Source organism: Homo sapiens, chromosome 1 (assembly GCF_000001405.40).
Source record: "Homo sapiens chromosome 1, GRCh38.p14 Primary Assembly".
NCBI classification, from domain to species: domain Eukaryota; kingdom Metazoa; phylum Chordata; class Mammalia; order Primates; family Hominidae; genus Homo; species Homo sapiens.
In genome coordinates, this window is record NC_000001.11 from 145,321,590 (window position 1) to 145,347,858 (window position 26,269).

A 26,269-nucleotide genomic window follows, 5' to 3' on the forward strand; every position below is an offset into this window, starting at 1 on the left:
GAACTAGAGTTTCATTCAACCTACATGTGCCTATAGGACCTCCCTGTGGCAATGACATCTCTCAGCTCAGTAAGGGCCACTTGCAGTAGGAATATGACCCTAACCAGAAGACTCAGTGGATCCTTATCACCTTCATAGAAAGGTACTCACCATCCATGTCAACAGCCAAGCCAACACGCTGTTGCTCCAATACGTAAAAGGCACTTCTGTAGGGCTGGCATGAGTCAGTCAGTTCAAGACAACCTGAAGGAGTTGAATAACATCTATCCAGTGAGTCCTGCAAGACTTCAGGCCCTTTCTCATCCAGCAGCTCCCTGCTGAGCCTGGAAAAGTGGGAAAAAGTAAAGAATAAGCCAGGGGGAATCAGAAACCACACAGCCCCAGCTAGATTTCATGGCTAACGTAAGGAAGAGTTTGAAAAGAAAAAGGACAGATCCATTAATGAGGTAACAAATTATTGCCTTTATGTTGGGATAGAACAGGGCCAGGTAGAAAACAATGAAAGAGAAAGACAGAGAGAGAGAGAGAGACAGAGACAGAGAGAGAGAGACAGAGACAGAGACAGAGAGAAAGTGACCTAGTGAATTGGCCAGGTGACATACTGGTAAGGGAGTAAAAGGACACTCTGAGTTAGTGCCCTCATGACACACAGCAAACTGTGATCATGAAAAGAGTGAGCTCAATAGTTTTCCATAAAATATGCTCAAAATTCGATGCAGTGGCCATGAGAGTACAGCTTTTGAAGTATGGTCAACCTATGGTACGTTAGGAAATGATAAGGGGAGGAAGAAATGGAAACCTAAACATCTACTGCAATGAAAACCAACAGCAATGACAGTAGGAGTAATTCAGCCTTCGTTGAAAACATGACATCAAACACACTCTGGTTTCCCTGAATCTGTTGCCTCCAGGTGTTAACACAGAATTAAGCATCCACAATTGCTGAAAGTCACCTGGGGCATGGTGGGTTTTGATCTTCTTCCCCTTCTTTTCTTCCCCTTCTTCTTTCCTTCTTTGATCTTCTTCCCCTTCTTTTCTTCCCCTTCCCCTTCTTTTCAATTTCTGCAATAAATTCAGACATGGACAGACACATTAAGCTGATTCCCCTACACACATAACAATCCACTGTCTAATCCTCACACAGGGACCTCAGGCTCCTCAGCATAAGAATAGGACACCGTGAGAGATATATTTCAGGAGGCCTGAAGGCTGGTCATGATAGAAATTCCTCGGTTTTTCTCCCAGAAACTGTGGGTAAAATGTCCCTATTCTAGTAGATCGTTATCCCAATATCATTTGTCCCAAGTTTGTGCAAACAGTTATGCCATATTTTTCCAATCAACTTAAAGCAAATACCCTCAAATGATTTCTAGGAGAAAAACTGCAATATTTAGCCCTGTCTCATCAAATACTCAGATTGTTCATGGTTGTGAGGACTTTAGACACTGAAATTAGAGTGAAAAAGGAAATCTACAAACCCTTGAGTCAAAATCATAGTTCTCTGAATTTGTCACATCTGCCCAGGTCCAATGTCATGAGGATAGGATCAGGGCGCCACAGGTATGGCCTGAGACTAGGAAGAGAGTCTTGCTCACTGACCCATCCCTTGCCTGGGCTTCCAGGTAGAACTAGAGTTTCATTCAACCTACATGTGCCTATAGGTCCTCCCTGTGGCAATGACATCTCTCAGCTCAGTAATGGCCACTTGGAGCAGGAATATGATCTTTATATGGAAGACTCAGTGGATCCTTATCACCTTCATAGAAAGGTACTCACCTCCCACGTCAAGAGAAAAGCCAACATGTTTTTCCTCCAATGCATAAAAGGAACTTCCATAGGGCTGGCAGGAGTCAGGCTGTTCAAGACAACTGGAAGGAGTTGAATAACATCTATCCAGTGAGTCCTGCAAGACTTCAGGCTCTACTACCTCCAGCAGCTCCCTGCTGAGCCTGGAAAAGGAGGAAAAAGTAAAGAATAAGCCAGGGGAAATCAGACACAACAGAGCCCCAACTAGGTTTCATGGGTAGCATAGGGAAGTGGTTAAAAAACTAAAAGGATAGATCCATTAATGAGGTAACAAATTATTGCCTTCATGTTGGGACAGAACAGGGCCAAATGGAAAAGAATGAAAGAGAAAGACAGATAGACACACACACACACACACACACACAGACACACACACAGACACACACACACACAGAGAGAGAACGAGCTCAGTGAATTGTCCAGGTGACACACTGATGAGGGAGTAACAGGACACTCTGAGTTAGTGCCCTCAGGACACACAGCATACAGGGATCATGAAAAGACTGTGCTCAATAATTTTCCATAAAATGTGCTCAAGTTTCCATGCAGTCGCCATGAGAATACAGTTTTTGAAGTCTGGTCCACCTACAGTAGGTTAGTAAATGATAAGGGGAGGAAGAAATGGAAACCTAAATATCTACTGCAATGAAAACCAACAGCAATGTTAGTAGGAATAATTCAGGCTTGCTGGAAAAGATGTAATCGATAATGTCAGCCCGCTCTGTTTTCCCTGAACCAGGAGTCTCCAGATGTCAACACAGAAGTAGCTGTTCACAATTGCTCAGTTACCTGGGGCATGGTGGGCCTTGGTCTTCTTCCTCTTCTTGGTCCTTTTTAGTTCCTGCAATACATTCAGACAGGGACAGACAAAATAAGCCAATTCACCTACACCCATAACAGTCCACTGTCTAATCCCCACACAGGGATCTCAGGCTCCTCAGCATGAGAACAGGACAATGTGAGAGAGATACTTCAGGAGGCCTGAAAGCTGGTCATGATATTCTTTGGTTTGCATCTCAGAACCAAGGGTGAAATATCCCCATTCTGGTAGATCGTTATCCCAAAATCATTTATCCCAAGTTTGTGCAAACAGTTATGCCTTATTGTTCCCATCAGTTCAAAGAAAATGCCCCAGATGATTTCTAGGAGGAAAACTGCAGTATTCAGCCCTGTCTCATCAAATGCCCAGCTCGTTCATGGATGCAAGAATTTTAGACACTGAAATTAGAATGAAGGAGGAAATCTACAAACCCTTCAGTCCAAATCATACTTCTGTGAATTTTTTACATCTGCCTGGGTCCAATGTGCTGAGAGCGGGCTCAGCTTGCCACAGGCATGGCTGGAGACTAGGAATAGAGCCTTGCTCACTGACCCATTTCATGTCTAGGCTTCCAACTGAGACTACAGTTTCATTACAACCTATATGCGCCCATAGGTCCTGCCTGCGGCAATGACATCTCTCGGGTCAGTAAGGGCCACTTGGAACAGGAATATCACCCCTATCTGGAAGACCAGGTGGAGGCTTATCACCTTCACAGTAAGGTACTCACTGTCCACGTCAAGAGCCAAGCCAAGGTACTGTTCCTCCAATGAGTAAACAGCACTGCTGTAGGGCTGGCCTAAGTCAGGCAGTTCAAGATAACCTGAAGGAGTCGAATAACATCTATCCAGTGAGTCCTGCAAGACTTCAGGCTCTTTCTCATCCAGCAGCTCCCTGCTGAGCCTGGAAAAGTAGGAAAAAGTAAAGAATAAGCCAGGGGGAATCAGAAACCACACAGCCCCAGCTAGATTTCATGGCTAACATAAGGAACTGTTTAAAAAGAAAAAGGACAGATCCATTAATGAGGTAATGAATTATTGCCTTTATGTTGGGATAGACCAGGGCCAGGTAGAAAAGAATGAAAGAGAAAGACAGGGAGAGGGAGAGAGAGAGAGAGAGAGGAGAAAGTGAGCTCAGCGAGTTGGCCGGGTGACACACTGATGAAGGGGTCAAAGGACACTCTGAGTTAGTGCCCTCGGGACACACAGCGAACAGTGATCATGAAAAGAGTGGGCTCAATAATTTTCCATAAACTTGCTCAAGATTCCATGCAGTTGCCATACAGCCTTTGAGGTATGGTCAACCTATAGTAAGTTAGTAAATGATAAGGGGAGGAAGAAATGGAAACCTAAACATCTACTGCAATGAAAACCAACAGCAATGTCAGGAGGAGTAATTCAACCTTCGTTGAAAACATGAAATTGAACACACTCTTGTTTTCCCTGGACCTGGCATCTCCAGGTGTCAACACAGAATTAAGCATCCATAATTGCTCAAAGTTACCTGGGGCATGATGGGTCTTGGTCTTCTTCCACTTCTTGGTACTTTTCAATTTCTGCAATAAGTTCAGACATGGACAGACATATTAAGCTGGTTCTCCTACACACATAACAATCCACTGTCTAATCCTCACACAGGGACTTCAGGCTCCTCAGCATGAGAATAGGACACTGTGAGAGGTAGTCTTCAGGAGGCCTGAAGGCTGATCACGATAGAGATTCCTTGGTTTTTGTCCCAGAAACTGTGGGTAAAATTCCCTATTCTGGTAGATCGTTATCCCAATATCATTTGTCCCAAGTTTGTGCAAATGGTTATGCCATATTTTTCCAATCGATTTAAAGCAAATGCCCCCAAATGGTTGCTAGGAGAAAAACTGCACTATTCAGCCCTGTCTCATCAAATACTCAGATTGTTCACGGTAGCGAGGATTTTAGACGCTGAAATTAGAGTGAAGGATGAAATCTACAAGATCTACAAAATTGAGACAAAATCAGAGTTGTGTGAATTTGTCACATCTGCCCAGGTCCAACGTCATGAGAGTAGGATTAGGGCGCCACAGGCATGGCCTGAGACTAGGAAGAGAGCCTTGCTCACTGACCCATCCCTTGTCTGGGCTTCCAAGTGGAACTAGAGTTTCATTCAACCTACATGTGCCTATAGGACCTCCCTGTGGCAATGACATCTCTCAGCTCAGTAAGGGCCACTTGCAGTAGGAATATGACCCTAACCAGAAGACTCAGTGGATCCTTATCACCTTCATAGAAAGGTACTCACCATCCATGTCAACAGCCAAGCCAACACGCTGTTGCTCCAATACGTAAAAGGCACTTCTGTAGGGCTGGCATGAGTCAGTCAGTTCAAGACAACCTGAAGGAGTTGAATAACTTCTATCCAGTGAGTCCTGCAAGACTTCAGGCCCTTTCTCATCCAGCAGCTCCCTGCTGAGCCTGGAAAAGTGGGAAAAAGTAAAGAATAAGCCAGGGGGAATCAGAAACCACACAGCCCCAGCTAGATTTCATGGCTAACGTAAGGAAGAGTTTGAAAAGAAAAAGGACAGATCCATTAATGAGGTAACAAATTATTGCCTTTATGTTGGGATAGAACAGGGCCAGGTAGAAAACAATGAAAGAGAAAGACAGAGAGAGAGAGAGAGACAGAGACAGAGAGAGAGACAGAGACAGAGACAGAGAGAAAGTGACCTAGTGAATTGGCCAGGTGACATACTGGTAAGGGAGTAAAAGGACACTCTGAGTTAGTGCCCTCATGACACACAGCAAACTGTGATCATGAAAAGAGTGAGCTCAATAGTTTTCCATAAAATATGCTCAAAATTCGATGCAGTGGCCATGAGAGTACAGCTTTTGAAGTATGGTCAACCTATGGTACGTTAGGAAATGATAAGGGGAGGAAGAAATGGAAACCTAAACATCTACTGCAATGAAAACCAACAGCAATGACAGTAGGAGTAATTCAGCCTTCGTTGAAAACATGACATCAAACACACTCTGGTTTCCCTGAATCTGTTGCCTCCAGGTGTTAACACAGAATTAAGCATCCACAATTGCTGAAAGTCACCTGGGGCATGGTGGGTTTTGATCTTCTTCCCCTTCTTTTCTTCCCCTTCTTCTTTCCTTCTTTGATCTTCTTCCCCTTCTTTTCTTCCCCTTCCCCTTCTTTTCAATTTCTGCAATAAATTCAGACATGGACAGACACATTAAGCTGATTCCCCTACACACATAACAATCCACTGTCTAATCCTCACACAGGGACCTCAGGCTCCTCAGCATAAGAATAGGACACCGTGAGAGATATATTTCAGGAGGCCTGAAGGCTGGTCATGATAGAAATTCCTCGGTTTTTCTCCCAGAAACTGTGGGTAAAATGTCCCTATTCTAGTAGATCGTTATCCCAATATCATTTGTCCCAAGTTTGTGCAAACAGTTATGCCATATTTTTCCAATCAACTTAAAGCAAATACCCTCAAATGATTTCTAGGAGAAAAACTGCAATATTTAGCCCTGTCTCATCAAATACTCAGATTGTTCATGGTTGTGAGGACTTTAGACACTGAAATTAGAGTGAAAAAGGAAATCTACAAACCCTTGAGTCAAAATCATAGTTCTCTGAATTTGTCACATCTGCCCAGGTCCAATGTCATGAGGATAGGATCAGGGCGCCACAGGTATGGCCTGAGACTAGGAAGAGAGTCTTGCTCACTGACCCATCCCTTGCCTGGGCTTCCAGGTAGAACTAGAGTTTCATTCAACCTACATGTGCCTATAGGTCCTCCCTGTGGCAATGACATCTCTCAGCTCAGTAATGGCCACTTGGAGCAGGAATATGATCTTTATATGGAAGACTCAGTGGATCCTTATCACCTTCATAGAAAGGTACTCACCTCCCACGTCAAGAGAAAAGCCAACATGTTTTTCCTCCAATGCATAAAAGGAACTTCCATAGGGCTGGCAGGAGTCAGGCTGTTCAAGACAACTGGAAGGAGTTGAATAACATCTATCCAGTGAGTCCTGCAAGACTTCAGGCTCTACTACCTCCAGCAGCTCCCTGCTGAGCCTGGAAAAGGAGGAAAAAGTAAAGAATAAGCCAGGGGAAATCAGACACAACAGAGCCCCAACTAGGTTTCATGGGTAGCATAGGGAAGTGGTTAAAAAACTAAAAGGATAGATCCATTAATGAGGTAACAAATTATTGCCTTCATGTTGGGACAGAACAGGGCCAAATGGAAAAGAATGAAAGAGAAAGACAGATAGACACACACACACACACACACACACACACACACACACAGACACACACACAGACACACACACACACAGAGAGAGAACGAGCTCAGTGAATTGTCCAGGTGACACACTGATGAGGGAGTAACAGGACACTCTGAGTTAGTGCCCTCAGGACACACAGCATACAGGGATCATGAAAAGACTGTGCTCAATAATTTTCCATAAAATGTGCTCAAGTTTCCATGCAGTCGCCATGAGAATACAGTTTTTGAAGTCTGGTCCACCTACAGTAGGTTAGTAAATGATAAGGGGAGGAAGAAATGGAAACCTAAATATCTACTGCAATGAAAACCAACAGCAATGTTAGTAGGAATAATTCAGGCTTGCTGGAAAAGATGTAATCGATAATGTCAGCCCGCTCTGTTTTCCCTGAACCAGGAGTCTCCAGATGTCAACACAGAAGTAGCTGTTCACAATTGCTCAGTTACCTGGGGCATGGTGGGCCTTGGTCTTCTTCCTCTTCTTGGTCCTTTTTAGTTCCTGCAATACATTCAGACAGGGACAGACAAAATAAGCCAATTCACCTACACCCATAACAGTCCACTGTCTAATCCCCACACAGGGATCTCAGGCTCCTCAGCATGAGAACAGGACAATGTGAGAGAGATACTTCAGGAGGCCTGAAAGCTGGTCATGATATTCTTTGGTTTGCATCTCAGAACCAAGGGTGAAATATCCCCATTCTGGTAGATCGTTATCCCAAAATCATTTATCCCAAGTTTGTGCAAACAGTTATGCCTTATTGTTCCCATCAGTTCAAAGAAAATGCCCCAGATGATTTCTAGGAGGAAAACTGCAGTATTCAGCCCTGTCTCATCAAATGCCCAGCTCGTTCATGGATGCAAGAATTTTAGACACTGAAATTAGAATGAAGGAGGAAATCTACAAACCCTTGAGTCCAAATCATAGTTCTGTGAATTTTTTACATCTGCCTGGGTCCAATGTGCTGAGAGCGGGCTCAGCTTGCCACAGGCATGGCTGGAGACTAGGAATAGAGCCTTGCTCACTGACCCATTTCATGTCTAGGCTTCCAACTGAGACTACAGTTTCATTACAACCTATATGCGCCCATAGGTCCTGCCTGCGGCAATGACATCTCTCGGGTCAGTAAGGGCCACTTGGAACAGGAATATCACCCCTATCTGGAAGACCAGGTGGAGGCTTATCACCTTCACAGTAAGGTACTCACTGTCCACGTCAAGAGCCAAGCCAAGGTACTGTTCCTCCAATGAGTAAACAGCACTGCTGTAGGGCTGGCCTAAGTCAGGCAGTTCAAGATAACCTGAAGGAGTCGAATAACATCTATCCAGTGAGTCCTGCAAGACTTCAGGCTCTTTCTCATCCAGCAGCTCCCTGCTGAGCCTGGAAAGTAGGAAAAAGTAAAGAATAAGCCAGGGGGAATCAGAAACCACACAGCCCCAGCTAGATTTCATGGCTAACATAAGGAACTGTTTAAAAAGAAAAAGGACAGATCCATTAATGAGGTAATGAATTATTGCCTTTATGTTGGGATAGACCAGGGCCAGGTAGAAAAGAATGAAAGAGAAAGACAGGGAGAGGGAGGGAGAGAGAGAGAGAGAGAGAGAGGAGAAAGTAAGCTCAGCGAGTTGGCCGGGTGACACACTGATGAAGGGGTCAAAGGACACTCTGAGTTAGTGCCCTCGGGACACACAGCGAACAGTGATCATGAAAAGAGTGGGCTCAATAATTTTCCATAAACTTGCTCAAGATTCCATGCAGTTGCCATACAGCCTTTGAGGTATGGTCAACCTATAGTAAGTTAGTAAATGATAAGGGGAGGAAGAAATGGAAACCTAAACATCTACTGCAATGAAAACCAACAGCAATATCAGGAGGAGTAATTCAACCTTCGTTGAAAACATGAAATTGAACACACTCTTGTTTTCCCTGGACCTGGCATCTCCAGGTGTCAACACAGAATTAAGCATCCATAATTGCTCAAAGTTACCTGGGGCATGATGGGTCTTGGTCTTCTTCCACTTCTTGGTACTTTTCAATTTCTGCAATAAGTTCAGACATGGACAGACATATTAAGCTGGTTCTCCTACACACATAACAATCCACTGTCTAATCCTCACACAGGGACTTCAGGCTCCTCAGCATGAGAATAGGACACTGTGAGAGATAGTCTTCAGGAGGCCTGAAGGCTGATCACCATAGAGATTCCTTGGTTTTTGTCCCAGAAACTGTGGGTAAAATTCCCTATTCTGGTAGATCGTTATCCCAATATCATTTGTCCCAAGTTTGTGCAAATGGTTATGCCATATTTTTCCAATCGATTTAAAGCAAATGCCCCCAAATGGTTGCTAGGAGAAAAACTGCACTATTCAGCCCTGTCTCATCAAATACTCAGATTGTTCACGGTAGCGAGGATTTTAGACGCTGAAATTAGAGTGAAGGATGAAATCTACAAGATCTACAAAATTGAGACAAAATCAGAGTTGTGTGAATTTGTCACATCTGCCCAGGTCCAACGTCATGAGAGTAGGATTAGGGCGCCACAGGCATGGCCTGAGACTAGGAAGAGAGCCTTGCTCACTGACCCATCCCTTGTCTGGGCTTCCAAGTGGAACTAGAGTTTCATTCAACCTACATGTGCCTATAGGACCTCCCTGTGGCAATGACATCTCTCAGCTCAGTAAGGGCCACTTGCAGTAGGAATATGACCCTAACCAGAAGACTCAGTGGATCCTTATCACCTTCATAGAAAGGTACTCACCATCCATGTCAACAGCCAAGCCAACACGCTGTTGCTCCAATACGTAAAAGGCACTTCTGTAGGGCTGGCATGAGTCAGTCAGTTCAAGACAACCTGAAGGAGTTGAATAACTTCTATCCAGTGAGTCCTGCAAGACTTCAGGCCCTTTCTCATCCAGCAGCTCCCTGCTGAGCCTGGAAAAGTGGGAAAAAGTAAAGAATAAGCCAGGGGGAATCAGAAACCACACAGCCCCAGCTAGATTTCATGGCTAACGTAAGGAAGAGTTTGAAAAGAAAAAGGACAGATCCATTAATGAGGTAACAAATTATTGCCTTTATGTTGGGATAGAACAGGGCCAGGTAGAAAACAATGAAAGAGAAAGACAGAGAGAGAGAGAGAGACAGAGACAGAGAGAGAGACAGAGACAGAGACAGAGAGAAAGTGACCTAGTGAATTGGCCAGGTGACATACTGGTAAGGGAGTAAAAGGACACTCTGAGTTAGTGCCCTCATGACACACAGCAAACTGTGATCATGAAAAGAGTGAGCTCAATAGTTTTCCATAAAATATGCTCAAAATTCGATGCAGTGGCCATGAGAGTACAGCTTTTGAAGTATGGTCAACCTATGGTACGTTAGGAAATGATAAGGGGAGGAAGAAATGGAAACCTAAACATCTACTGCAATGAAAACCAACAGCAATGACAGTAGGAGTAATTCAGCCTTCGTTGAAAACATGACATCAAACACACTCTGGTTTCCCTGAATCTGTTGCCTCCAGGTGTTAACACAGAATTAAGCATCCACAATTGCTGAAAGTCACCTGGGGCATGGTGGGTTTTGATCTTCTTCCCCTTCTTTTCTTCCCCTTCTTCTTTCCTTCTTTGATCTTCTTCCCCTTCTTTTCTTCCCCTTCCCCTTCTTTTCAATTTCTGCAATAAATTCAGACATGGACAGACACATTAAGCTGATTCCCCTACACACATAACAATCCACTGTCTAATCCTCACACAGGGACCTCAGGCTCCTCAGCATAAGAATAGGACACCGTGAGAGATATATTTCAGGAGGCCTGAAGGCTGGTCATGATAGAAATTCCTCGGTTTTTCTCCCAGAAACTGTGGGTAAAATGTCCCTATTCTAGTAGATCGTTATCCCAATATCATTTGTCCCAAGTTTGTGCAAACAGTTATGCCATATTTTTCCAATCAACTTAAAGCAAATACCCTCAAATGATTTCTAGGAGAAAAACTGCAATATTTAGCCCTGTCTCATCAAATACTCAGATTGTTCATGGTTGTGAGGACTTTAGACACTGAAATTAGAGTGAAAAAGGAAATCTACAAACCCTTGAGTCAAAATCATAGTTCTCTGAATTTGTCACATCTGCCCAGGTCCAATGTCATGAGGATAGGATCAGGGCGCCACAGGTATGGCCTGAGACTAGGAAGAGAGTCTTGCTCACTGACCCATCCCTTGCCTGGGCTTCCAGGTAGAACTAGAGTTTCATTCAACCTACATGTGCCTATAGGTCCTCCCTGTGGCAATGACATCTCTCAGCTCAGTAATGGCCACTTGGAGCAGGAATATGATCTTTATATGGAAGACTCAGTGGATCCTTATCACCTTCATAGAAAGGTACTCACCTCCCACGTCGAGAGAAAAGCCAACATGTTTTTCCTCCAATGCATAAAAGGAACTTCCATAGGGCTGGCAGGAGTCAGGCTGTTCAAGACAACTGGAAGGAGTTGAATAACATCTATCCAGTGAGTCCTGCAAGACTTCAGGCTCTACTACCTCCAGCAGCTCCCTGCTGAGCCTGGAAAAGGAGGAAAAAGTAAAGAATAAGCCAGGGGAAATCAGACACAACAGAGCCCCAACTAGGTTTCATGGGTAGCATAGGGAAGTGGTTAAAAAACTAAAAGGATAGATCCATTAATGAGGTAACAAATTATTGCCTTCATGTTGGGACAGAACAGGGCCAAATGGAAAAGAATGAAAGAGAAAGACAGATAGACACACACACACACACACACACACACACACACACAGACACACACACACACACAGAGAGAACGAGCTCAGTGAATTGTCCAGGTGACACACTGATGAGGGAGTAACAGGACACTCTGAGTTAGTGCCCTCAGGACACACAGCATACAGGGATCATGAAAAGACTGTGCTCAATAATTTTCCATAAAATGTGCTCAAGTTTCCATGCAGTCGCCATGAGAATACAGTTTTTGAAGTCTGGTCCACCTACAGTAGGTTAGTAAATGATAAGGGGAGGAAGAAATGGAAACCTAAATATCTACTGCAATGAAAACCAACAGCAATGTTAGTAGGAATAATTCAGGCTTGCTGGAAAAGATGTAATCGATAATGTCAGCCCGCTCTGTTTTCCCTGAACCAGGAGTCTCCAGATGTCAACACAGAAGTAGCTGTTCACAATTGCTCAGTTACCTGGGGCATGGTGGGCCTTGGTCTTCTTCCTCTTCTTGGTCCTTTTTAGTTCCTGCAATACATTCAGACAGGGACAGACAAAATAAGCCAATTCACCTACACCCATAACAGTCCACTGTCTAATCCCCACACAGGGATCTCAGGCTCCTCAGCATGAGAACAGGACAATGTGAGAGAGATACTTCAGGAGGCCTGAAAGCTGGTCATGATATTCTTTGGTTTGCATCTCAGAACCAAGGGTGAAATATCCCCATTCTGGTAGATCGTTATCCCAAAATCATTTATCCCAAGTTTGTGCAAACAGTTATGCCTTATTGTTCCCATCAGTTCAAAGAAAATGCCCCAGATGATTTCTAGGAGGAAAACTGCAGTATTCAGCCCTGTCTCATCAAATGCCCAGCTCGTTCATGGATGCAAGAATTTTAGACACTGAAATTAGAATGAAGGAGGAAATCTACAAACCCTTCAGTCCAAATCATACTTCTGTGAATTTTTTACATCTGCCTGGGTCCAATGTGCTGAGAGCGGGCTCAGCTTGCCACAGGCATGGCTGGAGACTAGGAATAGAGCCTTGCTCACTGACCCATTTCATGTCTAGGCTTCCAACTGAGACTACAGTTTCATTACAACCTATATGCGCCCATAGGTCCTGCCTGCGGCAATGACATCTCTCGGGTCAGTAAGGGCCACTTGGAACAGGAATATCACCCCTATCTGGAAGACCAGGTGGAGGCTTATCACCTTCACAGTAAGGTACTCACTGTCCACGTCAAGAGCCAAGCCAAGGTACTGTTCCTCCAATGAGTAAACAGCACTGCTGTAGGGCTGGCCTAAGTCAGGCAGTTCAAGATAACCTGAAGGAGTCGAATAACATCTATCCAGTGAGTCCTGCAAGACTTCAGGCTCTTTCTCATCCAGCAGCTCCCTGCTGAGCCTGGAAAAGTAGGAAAAAGTAAAGAATAAGCCAGGGGGAATCAGAAACCACACAGCCCCAGCTAGATTTCATGGCTAACATAAGGAACTGTTTAAAAAGAAAAAGGACAGATCCATTAATGAGGTAATGAATTATTGCCTTTATGTTGGGATAGACCAGGGCCAGGTAGAAAAGAATGAAAGAGAAAGACAGGGAGAGGGAGGGAGAGAGAGAGAGAGAGAGAGAGAGGAGAAAGTAAGCTCAGCGAGTTGGCCGGGTGACACACTGATGAAGGGGTCAAAGGACACTCTGAGTTAGTGCCCTCGGGACACACAGCGAACAGTGATCATGAAAAGAGTGGGCTCAATAATTTTCCATAAACTTGCTCAAGATTCCATGCAGTTGCCATACAGACTTTGAGGTATGGTCAACCTATAGTAAGTTAGTAAATGATAAGGGGAGGAAGAAATGGAAACCTAAACATCTACTGCAATGAAAACCAACAGCAATATCAGGAGGAGTAATTCAACCTTCGTTGAAAACATGAAATTGAACACACTCTTGTTTTCCCTGGACCTGGCATCTCCAGGTGTCAACACAGAATTAAGCATCCATAATTGCTCAAAGTTACCTGGGGCATGATGGGTCTTGGTCTTCTTCCACTTCTTGGTACTTTTCAATTTCTGCAATAAGTTCAGACATGGACAGACATATTAAGCTGGTTCTCCTACACACATAACAATCCACTGTCTAATCCTCACACGGGGACTTCAGGCTCCTCAGCATGAGAATAGGACACTGTGAGAGATAGTCTTCAGGAGGCCTGAAGGCTGATCACCATAGAGATTCCTTGGTTTTTGTCCCAGAAACTGTGGGTAAAATTCCCTATTCTGGTAGATCGTTATCCCAATATCATTTGTCCCAAGTTTGTGCAAATGGTTATGCCATATTTTTCCAATCGATTTAAAGCAAATGCCCCCAAATGGTTGCTAGGAGAAAAACTGCACTATTCAGCCCTGTCTCATCAAATACTCAGATTGTTCACGGTAGCGAGGATTTTAGACGCTGAAATTAGAGTGAAGGATGAAATCTACAAGATCTACAAAATTGAGACAAAATCAGAGTTGTGTGAATTTGTCACATCTGCCCAGGTCCAACGTCATGAGAGTAGGATTAGGGCGCCACAGGCATGGCCTGAGACTAGGAAGAGAGCCTTGCTCACTGACCCATCCCTTGTCTGGGCTTCCAAGTGGAACTAGAGTTTCATTCAACCTACATGTGCCTATAGGACCTCCCTGTGGCAATGACATCTCTCAGCTCAGTAAGGGCCACTTGCAGTAGGAATATGACCCTAACCAGAAGACTCAGTGGATCCTTATCACCTTCATAGAAAGGTACTCACCATCCATGTCAACAGCCAAGCCAACACGCTGTTGCTCCAATACGTAAAAGGCACTTCTGTAGGGCTGGCATGAGTCAGTCAGTTCAAGACAACCTGAAGGAGTTGAATAACTTCTATCCAGTGAGTCCTGCAAGACTTCAGGCCCTTTCTCATCCAGCAGCTCCCTGCTGAGCCTGGAAAAGTGGGAAAAAGTAAAGAATAAGCCAGGGGGAATCAGAAACCACACAGCCCCAGCTAGATTTCATGGCTAACGTAAGGAAGAGTTTGAAAAGAAAAAGGACAGATCCATTAATGAGGTAACAAATTATTGCCTTTATGTTGGGATAGAACAGGGCCAGGTAGAAAACAATGAAAGAGAAAGACAGAGAGAGAGAGAGAGACAGAGACAGAGAGAGAGACAGAGACAGAGACAGAGAGAAAGTGACCTAGTGAATTGGCCAGGTGACATACTGGTAAGGGAGTAAAAGGACACTCTGAGTTAGTGCCCTCATGACACACAGCAAACTGTGATCATGAAAAGAGTGAGCTCAATAGTTTTCCATAAAATATGCTCAAAATTCGATGCAGTGGCCATGAGAGTACAGCTTTTGAAGTATGGTCAACCTATGGTACGTTAGGAAATGATAAGGGGAGGAAGAAATGGAAACCTAAACATCTACTGCAATGAAAACCAACAGCAATGACAGTAGGAGTAATTCAGCCTTCGTTGAAAACATGACATCAAACACACTCTGGTTTCCCTGAATCTGTTGCCTCCAGGTGTTAACACAGAATTAAGCATCCACAATTGCTGAAAGTCACCTGGGGCATGGTGGGTTTTGATCTTCTTCCCCTTCTTTTCTTCCCCTTCTTCTTTCCTTCTTTGATCTTCTTCCCCTTCTTTTCTTCCCCTTCCCCTTCTTTTCAATTTCTGCAATAAATTCAGACATGGACAGACACATTAAGCTGATTCCCCTACACACATAACAATCCACTGTCTAATCCTCACACAGGGACCTCAGGCTCCTCAGCATAAGAATAGGACACCGTGAGAGATATATTTCAGGAGGCCTGAAGGCTGGTCATGATAGAAATTCCTCGGTTTTTCTCCCAGAAACTGTGGGTAAAATGTCCCTATTCTAGTAGATCGTTATCCCAATATCATTTGTCCCAAGTTTGTGCAAACAGTTATGCCATATTTTTCCAATCAACTTAAAGCAAATACCCTCAAATGATTTCTAGGAGAAAAACTGCAATATTTAGCCCTGTCTCATCAAATACTCAGATTGTTCATGGTTGTGAGGACTTTAGACACTGAAATTAGAGTGAAAAAGGAAATCTACAAACCCTTGAGTCAAAATCATAGTTCTCTGAATTTGTCACATCTGCCCAGGTCCAATGTCATGAGGATAGGATCAGGGCGCCACAGGTATGGCCTGAGACTAGGAAGAGAGTCTTGCTCACTGACCCATCCCTTGCCTGGGCTTCCAGGTAGAACTAGAGTTTCATTCAACCTACATGTGCCTATAGGTCCTCCCTGTGGCAATGACATCTCTCAGCTCAGTAATGGCCACTTGGAGCAGGAATATGATCTTTATATGGAAGACTCAGTGGATCCTTATCACCTTCATAGAAAGGTACTCACCTCCCACGTCAAGAGAAAAGCCAACATGTTTTTCCTCCAATGCATAAAAGGAACTTCCATAGGGCTGGCAGGAGTCAGGCTGTTCAAGACAACTGGAAGGAGTTGAATAACATCTATCCAGTGAGTCCTGCAAGACTTCAGGCTCTACTACCTCCAGCAGCTCCCTGCTGAGCCTGGAAAAGGAGGAAAAAGTAAAGAATAAGCCAGGGGAAATCAGACACAACAGAGCCCCAACTAGGTTTCATGGGTAGCATAGGGAAGTGGTTAAAAAACTAAAAGGATAGATCCATTAATGAGGTAACAAATTATTGCCTTCATGTTGGGACAGAACAGGGCCAAATGGAAAAGAATGAAAGAGAAAGACAGATAGACACACACACACACACACACACACACACACACACACACACACACACAGAGAGAGAGAGAACGAGCTCAGTGAATTGTCCAGGTGACACACTGATGAGGGAGTAACAGGACACTCTGAGTTAGTGCCCTCAGGACACACAGCATACAGGGATCATGAAAAGACTGTGCTCAATAATTTTCCATAAAATGTGCTCAAGTTTCCATGCAGTCGCCATGAGAATACAGTTTTTGAAGTCTGGTCCACCTACAGTAGGTTAGTAAATGATAAGGGGAGGAAGAAATGGAAACCTAAATATCTACTGCAATGAAAACCAACAGCAATGTTAGTAGGAATAATTCAGGCTTGCTGGAAAAGATGTAATCGATAATGTCAGCCCGCTCTGTTTTCCCTGAACCAGGAGTCTCCAGATGTCAACACAGAAGTAGCTGTTCACAATTGCTCAGTTACCTGGGGCATGGTGGGCCTTGGTCTTCTTCCTCTTCTTGGTCCTTTTTAGTTCCTGCAATACATTCAGACAGGGACAGACAAAATAAGCCAATTCACCTACACCCATAACAGTCCACTGTCTAATCCCCACACAGGGATCTCAGGCTCCTCAGCATGAGAACAGGACAATGTGAGAGAGATACTTCAGGAGGCCTGAAAGCTGGTCATGATATTCTTTGGTTTGCATCTCAGAACCAAGGGTGAAATATCCCCATTCTGGTAGATCGTTATCCCAAAATCATTTATCCCAAGTTTGTGCAAACAGTTATGCCTTATTGTTCCCATCAGTTCAAAGAAAATGCCCCAGATGATTTCTAGGAGGAAAACTGCAGTATTCAGCCCTGTCTCATCAAATGCCCAGCTCGTTCATGGATGCAAGAATTTTAGACACTGAAATTAGAATGAAGGAGGAAATCTACAAACCCTTGAGTCCAAATCATAGTTCTGTGAATTTTTTACATCTGCCTGGGTCCAATGTGCTGAGAGCGGGCTCAGCTTGCCACAGGCATGGCTGGAGACTAGGAATAGAGCCTTGCTCACTGACCCATTTCATGTCTAGGCTTCCAACTGAGACTACAGTTTCATTACAACCTATATGCGCCCATAGGTCCTGCCTGCGGCAATGACATCTCTCGGGTCAGTAAGGGCCACTTGGAACAGGAATATCACCCCTATCTGGAAGACCAGGTGGAGGCTTATCACCTTCACAGTAAGGTACTCACTGTCCACGTCAAGAGCCAAGCCAAGGTACTGTTCCTCCAATGAGTAAACAGCACTGCTGTAGGGCTGGCCTAAGTCAGGCAGTTCAAGATAACCTGAAGGAGTCGAATAACATCTATCCAGTGAGTCCTGCAAGACTTCAGGCTCTTTCTCATCCAGCAGCTCCCTGCTGAGCCTGGAAAAGTAGGAAAAAGTAAAGAATAAGCCAGGGGGAATCAGAAACCACACAGCCCCAGCTAGATTTCATGGCTAACATAAGGAACTGTTTAAAAAGAAAAAGGACAGATCCATTAATGAGGTAATGAATTATTGCCTTTATGTTGGGATAGACCAGGGCCAGGTAGAAAAGAATGAAAGAGAAAGACAGGGAGAGGGAGGGAGAGAGAGAGAGAGAGAGAGAGGAGAAAGTAAGCTCAGCGAGTTGGCCGGGTGACACACTGATGAAGGGGTCAAAGGACACTCTGAGTTAGTGCCCTCGGGACACACAGCGAACAGTGATCATGAAAAGAGTGGGCTCAATAATTTTCCATAAACTTGCTCAAGATTCCATGCAGTTGCCATACAGCCTTTGAGGTATGGTCAACCTATAGTAAGTTAGTAAATGATAAGGGGAGGAAGAAATGGAAACCTAAACATCTACTGCAATGAAAACCAACAGCAATATCAGGAGGAGTAATTCAACCTTCGTTGAAAACATGAAATTGAACACACTCTTGTTTTCCCTGGACCTGGCATCTCCAGGTGTCAACACAGAATTAAGCATCCATAATTGCTCAAAGTTACCTGGGGCATGATGGGTCTTGGTCTTCTTCCACTTCTTGGTACTTTTCAATTTCTGCAATAAGTTCAGACATGGACAGACATATTAAGCTGGTTCTCCTACACACATAACAATCCACTGTCTAATCCTCACACAGGGACTTCAGGCTCCTCAGCATGAGAATAGGACACTGTGAGAGATAGTCTTCAGGAGGCCTGAAGGCTGATCACCATAGAGATTCCTTGGTTTTTGTCCCAGAAACTGTGGGTAAAATTCCCTATTCTGGTAGATCGTTATCCCAATATCATTTGTCCCAAGTTTGTGCAAATGGTTATGCCATATTTTTCCAATCGATTTAAAGCAAATGCCCCCAAATGGTTGCTAGGAGAAAAACTGCACTATTCAGCCCTGTCTCATCAAATACTCAGATTGTTCACGGTAGCGAGGATTTTAGACGCTGAAATTAGAGTGAAGGATGAAATCTACAAGATCTACAAAATTGAGACAAAATCAGAGTTGTGTGAATTTGTCACATCTGCCCAGGTCCAACGTCATGAGAGTAGGATTAGGGCGCCACAGGCATGGCCTGAGACTAGGAAGAGAGCCTTGCTCACTGACCCATCCCTTGTCTGGGCTTCCAAGTGGAACTAGAGTTTCATTCAACCTACATGTGCCTATAGGACCTCCCTGTGGCAATGACATCTCTCAGCTCAGTAAGGGCCACTTGCAGTAGGAATATGACCCTAACCAGAAGACTCAGTGGATCCTTATCACCTTCATAGAAAGGTACTCACCATCCATGTCAACAGCCAAGCCAACACGCTGTTGCTCCAATACGTAAAAGGCACTTCTGTAGGGCTGGCATGAGTCAGTCAGTTCAAGACAACCTGAAGGAGTTGAATAACTTCTATCCAGTGAGTCCTGCAAGACTTCAGGCCCTTTCTCATCCAGCAGCTCCCTGCTGAGCCTGGAAAAGTGGGAAAAAGTAAAGAATAAGCCAGGGGGAATCAGAAACCACACAGCCCCAGCTAGATTTCATGGCTAACGTAAGGAAGAGTTTGAAAAGAAAAAGGACAGATCCATTAATGAGGTAACAAATTATTGCCTTTATGTTGGGATAGAACAGGGCCAGGTAGAAAACAATGAAAGAGAAAGACAGAGAGAGAGAGACAGAGACAGAGAGAGAGACAGAGACAGAGACAGAGAGAAAGTGACCTAGTGAATTGGCCAGGTGACATACTGGTAAGGGAGTAAAAGGACACTCTGAGTTAGTGCCCTCATGACACACAGCAAACTGTGATCATGAAAAGAGTGAGCTCAATAGTTTTCCATAAAATATGCTCAAAATTCGATGCAGTGGCCATGAGAGTACAGCTTTTGAAGTATGGTCAACCTATGGTACGTTAGGAAATGATAAGGGGAGGAAGAAATGGAAACCTAAACATCTACTGCAATGAAAACCAACAGCAATGACAGTAGGAGTAATTCAGCCTTCGTTGAAAACATGACATCAAACACACTCTGGTTTCCCTGAATCTGTTGCCTCCAGGTGTTAACACAGAATTAAGCATCCACAATTGCTGAAAGTCACCTGGGGCATGGTGGGTTTTGATCTTCTTCCCCTTCTTTTCTTCCCCTTCTTCTTTCCTTCTTTGATCTTCTTCCCCTTCTTTTCTTCCCCTTCCCCTTCTTTTCAATTTCTGCAATAAATTCAGACATGGACAGACACATTAAGCTGATTCCCCTACACACATAACAATCCACTGTCTAATCCTCACACAGGGACCTCAGGCTCCTCAGCATAAGAATAGGACACCGTGAGAGATATATTTCAGGAGGCCTGAAGGCTGGTCATGATAGAAATTCCTCGGTTTTTCTCCCAGAAACTGTGGGTAAAATGTCCCTATTCTAGTAGATCGTTATCCCAATATCATTTGTCCCAAGTTTGTGCAAACAGTTATGCCATATTTTTCCAATCAACTTAAAGCAAATACCCTCAAATGATTTCTAGGAGAAAAACTGCAATATTTAGCCCTGTCTCATCAAATACTCAGATTGTTCATGGTTGTGAGGACTTTAGACACTGAAATTAGAGTGAAAAAGGAAATCTACAAACCCTTGAGTCAAAATCATAGTTCTCTGAATTTGTCACATCTGCCCAGGTCCAATGTCATGAGGATAGGATCAGGGCGCCACAGGTATGGCCTGAGACTAGGAAGAGAGTCTTGCTCACTGACCCATCCCTTGCCTGGGCTTCCAGGTAGAACTAGAGTTTCATTCAACCTACATGTGCCTATAGGTCCTCCCTGTGGCAATGACATCTCTCAGCTCAGTAATGGCCACTTGGAGCAGGAATATGATCTTTATATGGAAGACTCAGTGGATCCTTATCACCTTCATAGAAAGGTACTCACCTCCCACGTCGAGAGAAAAGCCAACATGTTTTTCCTCCAATGCATAAAAGGAACTTCCATAGGGCTGGCAGGAGTCAGGCTGTTCAAGACAACTGGAAGGAGTTGAATAACATCTATCCAGTGAGTCCTGCAAGACTTCAGGCTCTACTACCTCCAGCAGCTCCCTGCTGAGCCTGGAAAAGGAGGAAAAAGTAAAGAATAAGCCAGGGGAAATCAGACACAACAGAGCCCCAACTAGGTTTCATGGGTAGCATAGGGAAGTGGTTAAAAAACTAAAAGGATAGATCCATTAATGAGGTAACAAATTATTGCCTTCATGTTGGGACAGAACAGGGCCAAATGGAAAAGAATGAAAGAGAAAGACAGATAGACACACACACACACACACACACACACACACACACACACAGACACACACACACACACAGAGAGAACGAGCTCAGTGAATTGTCCAGGTGACACACTGATGAGGGAGTAACAGGACACTCTGAGTTAGTGCCCTCAGGACACACAGCATACAGGGATCATGAAAAGACTGTGCTCAATAATTTTCCATAAAATGTGCTCAAGTTTCCATGCAGTCGCCATGAGAATACAGTTTTTGAAGTCTGGTCCACCTACAGTAGGTTAGTAAATGATAAGGGGAGGAAGAAATGGAAACCTAAATATCTACTGCAATGAAAACCAACAGCAATGTTAGTAGGAATAATTCAGGCTTGCTGGAAAAGATGTAATCGATAATGTCAGCCCGCTCTGTTTTCCCTGAACCAGGAGTCTCCAGATGTCAACACAGAAGTAGCTGTTCACAATTGCTCAGTTACCTGGGGCATGGTGGGCCTTGGTCTTCTTCCTCTTCTTGGTCCTTTTTAGTTCCTGCAATACATTCAGACAGGGACAGACAAAATAAGCCAATTCACCTACACCCATAACAGTCCACTGTCTAATCCCCACACAGGGATCTCAGGCTCCTCAGCATGAGAACAGGACAATGTGAGAGAGATACTTCAGGAGGCCTGAAAGCTGGTCATGATATTCTTTGGTTTGCATCTCAGAACCAAGGGTGAAATATCCCCATTCTGGTAGATCGTTATCCCAAAATCATTTATCCCAAGTTTGTGCAAACAGTTATGCCTTATTGTTCCCATCAGTTCAAAGAAAATGCCCCAGATGATTTCTAGGAGGAAAACTGCAGTATTCAGCCCTGTCTCATCAAATGCCCAGCTCGTTCATGGATGCAAGAATTTTAGACACTGAAATTAGAATGAAGGAGGAAATCTACAAACCCTTCAGTCCAAATCATACTTCTGTGAATTTTTTACATCTGCCTGGGTCCAATGTGCTGAGAGCGGGCTCAGCTTGCCACAGGCATGGCTGGAGACTAGGAATAGAGCCTTGCTCACTGACCCATTTCATGTCTAGGCTTCCAACTGAGACTACAGTTTCATTACAACCTATATGCGCCCATAGGTCCTGCCTGCGGCAATGACATCTCTCGGGTCAGTAAGGGCCACTTGGAACAGGAATATCACCCCTATCTGGAAGACCAGGTGGAGGCTTATCACCTTCACAGTAAGGTACTCACTGTCCACGTCAAGAGCCAAGCCAAGGTACTGTTCCTCCAATGAGTAAACAGCACTGCTGTAGGGCTGGCCTAAGTCAGGCAGTTCAAGATAACCTGAAGGAGTCGAATAACATCTATCCAGTGAGTCCTGCAAGACTTCAGGCTCTTTCTCATCCAGCAGCTCCCTGCTGAGCCTGGAAAAGTAGGAAAAAGTAAAGAATAAGCCAGGGGGAATCAGAAACCACACAGCCCCAGCTAGATTTCATGGCTAACATAAGGAACTGTTTAAAAAGAAAAAGGACAGATCCATTAATGAGGTAATGAATTATTGCCTTTATGTTGGGATAGACCAGGGCCAGGTAGAAAAGAATGAAAGAGAAAGACAGGGAGAGGGAGGGAGAGAGAGAGAGAGAGAGAGAGGAGAAAGTAAGCTCAGCGAGTTGGCCGGGTGACACACTGATGAAGGGGTCAAAGGACACTCTGAGTTAGTGCCCTCGGGACACACAGCGAACAGTGATCATGAAAAGAGTGGGCTCAATAATTTTCCATAAACTTGCTCAAGATTCCATGCAGTTGCCATACAGCCTTTGAGGTATGGTCAACCTATAGTAAGTTAGTAAATGATAAGGGGAGGAAGAAATGGAAACCTAAACATCTACTGCAATGAAAACCAACAGCAATATCAGGAGGAGTAATTCAACCTTCGTTGAAAACATGAAATTGAACACACTCTTGTTTTCCCTGGACCTGGCATCTCCAGGTGTCAACACAGAATTAAGCATCCATAATTGCTCAAAGTTACCTGGGGCATGATGGGTCTTGGTCTTCTTCCACTTCTTGGTACTTTTCAATTTCTGCAATAAGTTCAGACATGGACAGACATATTAAGCTGGTTCTCCTACACACATAACAATCCACTGTCTAATCCTCACACAGGGACTTCAGGCTCCTCAGCATGAGAATAGGACACTGTGAGAGATAGTCTTCAGGAGGCCTGAAGGCTGATCACCATAGAGATTCCTTGGTTTTTGTCCCAGAAACTGTGGGTAAAATTCCCTATTCTGGTAGATCGTTATCCCAATATCATTTGTCCCAAGTTTGTGCAAATGGTTATGCCATATTTTTCCAATCGATTTAAAGCAAATGCCCCCAAATGGTTGCTAGGAGAAAAACTGCACTATTCAGCCCTGTCTCATCAAATACTCAGATTGTTCACGGTAGCGAGGATTTTAGACGCTGAAATTAGAGTGAAGGATGAAATCTACAAGATCTACAAAATTGAGACAAAATCAGAGTTGTGTGAATTTGTCACATCTGCCCAGGTCCAACGTCATGAGAGTAGGATTAGGGCGCCACAGGCATGGCCTGAGACTAGGAAGAGAGCCTTGCTCACTGACCCATCCCTTGTCTGGGCTTCCAAGTGGAACTAGAGTTTCATTCAACCTACATGTGCCTATAGGACCTCCCTGTGGCAATGACATCTCTCAGCTCAGTAAGGGCCACTTGCAGTAGGAATATGACCCTAACCAGAAGACTCAGTGGATCCTTATCACCTTCATAGAAAGGTACTCACCATCCATGTCAACAGCCAAGCCAACACGCTGTTGCTCCAATACGTAAAAGGCACTTCTGTAGGGCTGGCATGAGTCAGTCAGTTCAAGACAACCTGAAGGAGTTGAATAACATCTATCCAGTGAGTCCTGCAAGACTTCAGGCCCTTTCTCATCCAGCAGCTCCCTGCTGAGCCTGGAAAAGTGGGAAAAAGTAAAGAATAAGCCAGGGGGAATCAGAAACCACACAGCCCCAGCTAGATTTCATGGCTAACGTAAGGAAGAGTTTGAAAAGAAAAAGGACAGATCCATTAATGAGGTAACAAATTATTGCCTTTATGTTGGGATAGAACAGGGCCAGGTAGAAAACAATGAAAGAGAAAGACAGAGAGAGAGAGAGAGACAGAGACAGAGAGAGAGACAGAGACAGAGACAGAGAGAAAGTGACCTAGTGAATTGGCCAGGTGACATACTGGTAAGGGAGTAAAAGGACACTCTGAGTTAGTGCCCTCATGACACACAGCAAACTGTGATCATGAAAAGAGTGAGCTCAATAGTTTTCCATAAAATATGCTCAAAATTCGATGCAGTGGCCATGAGAGTACAGCTTTTGAAGTATGGTCAACCTATGGTACGTTAGGAAATGATAAGGGGAGGAAGAAATGGAAACCTAAACATCTACTGCAATGAAAACCAACAGCAATGACAGTAGGAGTAATTCAGCCTTCGTTGAAAACATGACATCAAACACACTCTGGTTTCCCTGAATCTGTTGCCTCCAGGTGTTAACACAGAATTAAGCATACACAATTGCTGAAAGTCACCTGGGGCATGGTGGGTTTTGATCTTCTTCCCCTTCTTTTCTTCCCCTTCTTCTTTCCTTCTTTGATCTTCTTCCCCTTCTTTTCTTCCCCTTCCCCTTCTTTTCAATTTCTGCAATAAATTCAGACATGGACAGACACATTAAGCTGATTCCCCTACACACATAACAATCCACTGTCTAATCCTCACGCAGGGACCTCAGGCTCCTCAGCATAAGAATAGGACACCGTGAGAGATATATTTCAGGAGGCCTGAAGGCTGGTCATGATAGAAATTCCTCGGTTTTTCTCCCAGAAACTGTGGGTAAAATGTCCCTATTCTAGTAGATCGTTATCCCAATATCATTTGTCCCAAGTTTGTGCAAACAGTTATGCCATATTTTTCCAATCAACTTAAAGCAAATACCCTCAAATGATTTCTAGGAGAAAAACTGCAATATTTAGCCCTGTCTCATCAAATACTCAGATTGTTCATGGTTGTGAGGACTTTAGACACTGAAATTAGAGTGAAAAAGGAAATCTACAAACCCTTGAGTCAAAATCATAGTTCTCTGAATTTGTCACATCTGCCCAGGTCCAATGTCATGAGGATAGGATCAGGGCGCCACAGGTATGGCCTGAGACTAGGAAGAGAGTCTTGCTCACTGACCCATCCCTTGCCTGGGCTTCCAGGTAGAACTAGAGTTTCATTCAACCTACATGTGCCTATAGGTCCTCCCTGTGGCAATGACATCTCTCAGCTCAGTAATGGCCACTTGGAGCAGGAATATGATCTTTATATGGAAGACTCAGTGGATCCTTATCACCTTCATAGAAAGGTACTCACCTCCCACGTCGAGAGAAAAGCCAACATGTTTTTCCTCCAATGCATAAAAGGAACTTCCATAGGGCTGGCAGGAGTCAGGCTGTTCAAGACAACTGGAAGGAGTTGAATAACATCTATCCAGTGAGTCCTGCAAGACTTCAGGCTCTACTACCTCCAGCAGCTCCCTGCTGAGCCTGGAAAAGGAGGAAAAAGTAAAGAATAAGCCAGGGGAAATCAGACACAACAGAGCCCCAACTAGGTTTCATGGGTAGCATAGGGAAGTGGTTAAAAAACTAAAAGGATAGATCCATTAATGAGGTAACAAATTATTGCCTTCATGTTGGGACAGAACAGGGCCAAATGGAAAAGAATGAAAGAGAAAGACAGATAGACACACACACACACACACACACACACACACACACACACAGACACACACACAGACAAACACACACACAGAGAGAGAACGAGCTCAGTGAATTGTCCAGGTGACACACTGATGAGGGAGTAACAGGACACTCTGAGTTAGTGCCCTCAGGACACACAGCATACAGGGATCATGAAAAGACTGTGCTCAATAATTTTCCATAAAATGTGCTCAAGTTTCCATGCAGTCGCCATGAGAATACAGTTTTTGAAGTCTGGTCCACCTACAGTAGGTTAGTAAATGATAAGGGGAGGAAGAAATGGAAACCTAAATATCTACTGCAATGAAAACCAACAGCAATGTTAGTA

The 26,269-nt window shown here is 44.2% G+C and overlaps 1 protein-coding gene across 3 annotated transcripts in view; it reads right to left on the minus strand.

Annotated features, from left to right (window-relative positions):
* Positions 1 to 26,269, minus strand: part of NBPF20 (NBPF member 20) — a 135,704-nt gene that overhangs the window by 31,690 nt on the left and 77,745 nt on the right. For 2 of the 3 annotated variants that reach the window (NM_001278267.1, NM_001397211.1), the window contains 33 exons: positions 25,556 to 25,728; positions 24,733 to 24,841; positions 23,932 to 24,104; positions 23,161 to 23,212; positions 22,380 to 22,552; positions 21,619 to 21,670; positions 20,798 to 20,970; positions 19,975 to 20,083; positions 19,178 to 19,350; positions 18,407 to 18,458; positions 17,626 to 17,798; positions 16,865 to 16,916; positions 16,048 to 16,220; positions 15,225 to 15,333; positions 14,424 to 14,596; positions 13,653 to 13,704; positions 12,870 to 13,042; positions 12,109 to 12,160; positions 11,292 to 11,464; positions 10,469 to 10,577; positions 9,668 to 9,840; positions 8,897 to 8,948; positions 8,117 to 8,289; positions 7,356 to 7,407; positions 6,525 to 6,697; positions 5,702 to 5,810; positions 4,901 to 5,073; positions 4,130 to 4,181; positions 3,357 to 3,529; positions 2,596 to 2,647; positions 1,777 to 1,949; positions 954 to 1,062; positions 151 to 323 (listed from right to left, as the gene is read on the minus strand). In NM_001278267.1, the coding sequence (NP_001265196.1) occupies positions 151 to 323; positions 954 to 1,062; positions 1,777 to 1,949; positions 2,596 to 2,647; positions 3,357 to 3,529; positions 4,130 to 4,181; positions 4,901 to 5,073; positions 5,702 to 5,810; positions 6,525 to 6,697; positions 7,356 to 7,407; positions 8,117 to 8,289; positions 8,897 to 8,948; positions 9,668 to 9,840; positions 10,469 to 10,577; positions 11,292 to 11,464; positions 12,109 to 12,160; positions 12,870 to 13,042; positions 13,653 to 13,704; positions 14,424 to 14,596; positions 15,225 to 15,333; positions 16,048 to 16,220; positions 16,865 to 16,916; positions 17,626 to 17,798; positions 18,407 to 18,458; positions 19,178 to 19,350; positions 19,975 to 20,083; positions 20,798 to 20,970; positions 21,619 to 21,670; positions 22,380 to 22,552; positions 23,161 to 23,212; positions 23,932 to 24,104; positions 24,733 to 24,841; positions 25,556 to 25,728 (4,115 nt within the window). The remainder of the gene's footprint in view (positions 1 to 150; positions 324 to 953; positions 1,063 to 1,776; positions 1,950 to 2,595; positions 2,648 to 3,356; positions 3,530 to 4,129; positions 4,182 to 4,900; positions 5,074 to 5,701; positions 5,811 to 6,524; positions 6,698 to 7,355; positions 7,408 to 8,116; positions 8,290 to 8,896; positions 8,949 to 9,667; positions 9,841 to 10,468; positions 10,578 to 11,291; positions 11,465 to 12,108; positions 12,161 to 12,869; positions 13,043 to 13,652; positions 13,705 to 14,423; positions 14,597 to 15,224; positions 15,334 to 16,047; positions 16,221 to 16,864; positions 16,917 to 17,625; positions 17,799 to 18,406; positions 18,459 to 19,177; positions 19,351 to 19,974; positions 20,084 to 20,797; positions 20,971 to 21,618; positions 21,671 to 22,379; positions 22,553 to 23,160; positions 23,213 to 23,931; positions 24,105 to 24,732; positions 24,842 to 25,555; positions 25,729 to 26,269) is intronic. The other variant, XM_047446015.1, reaches the window with a different exon arrangement.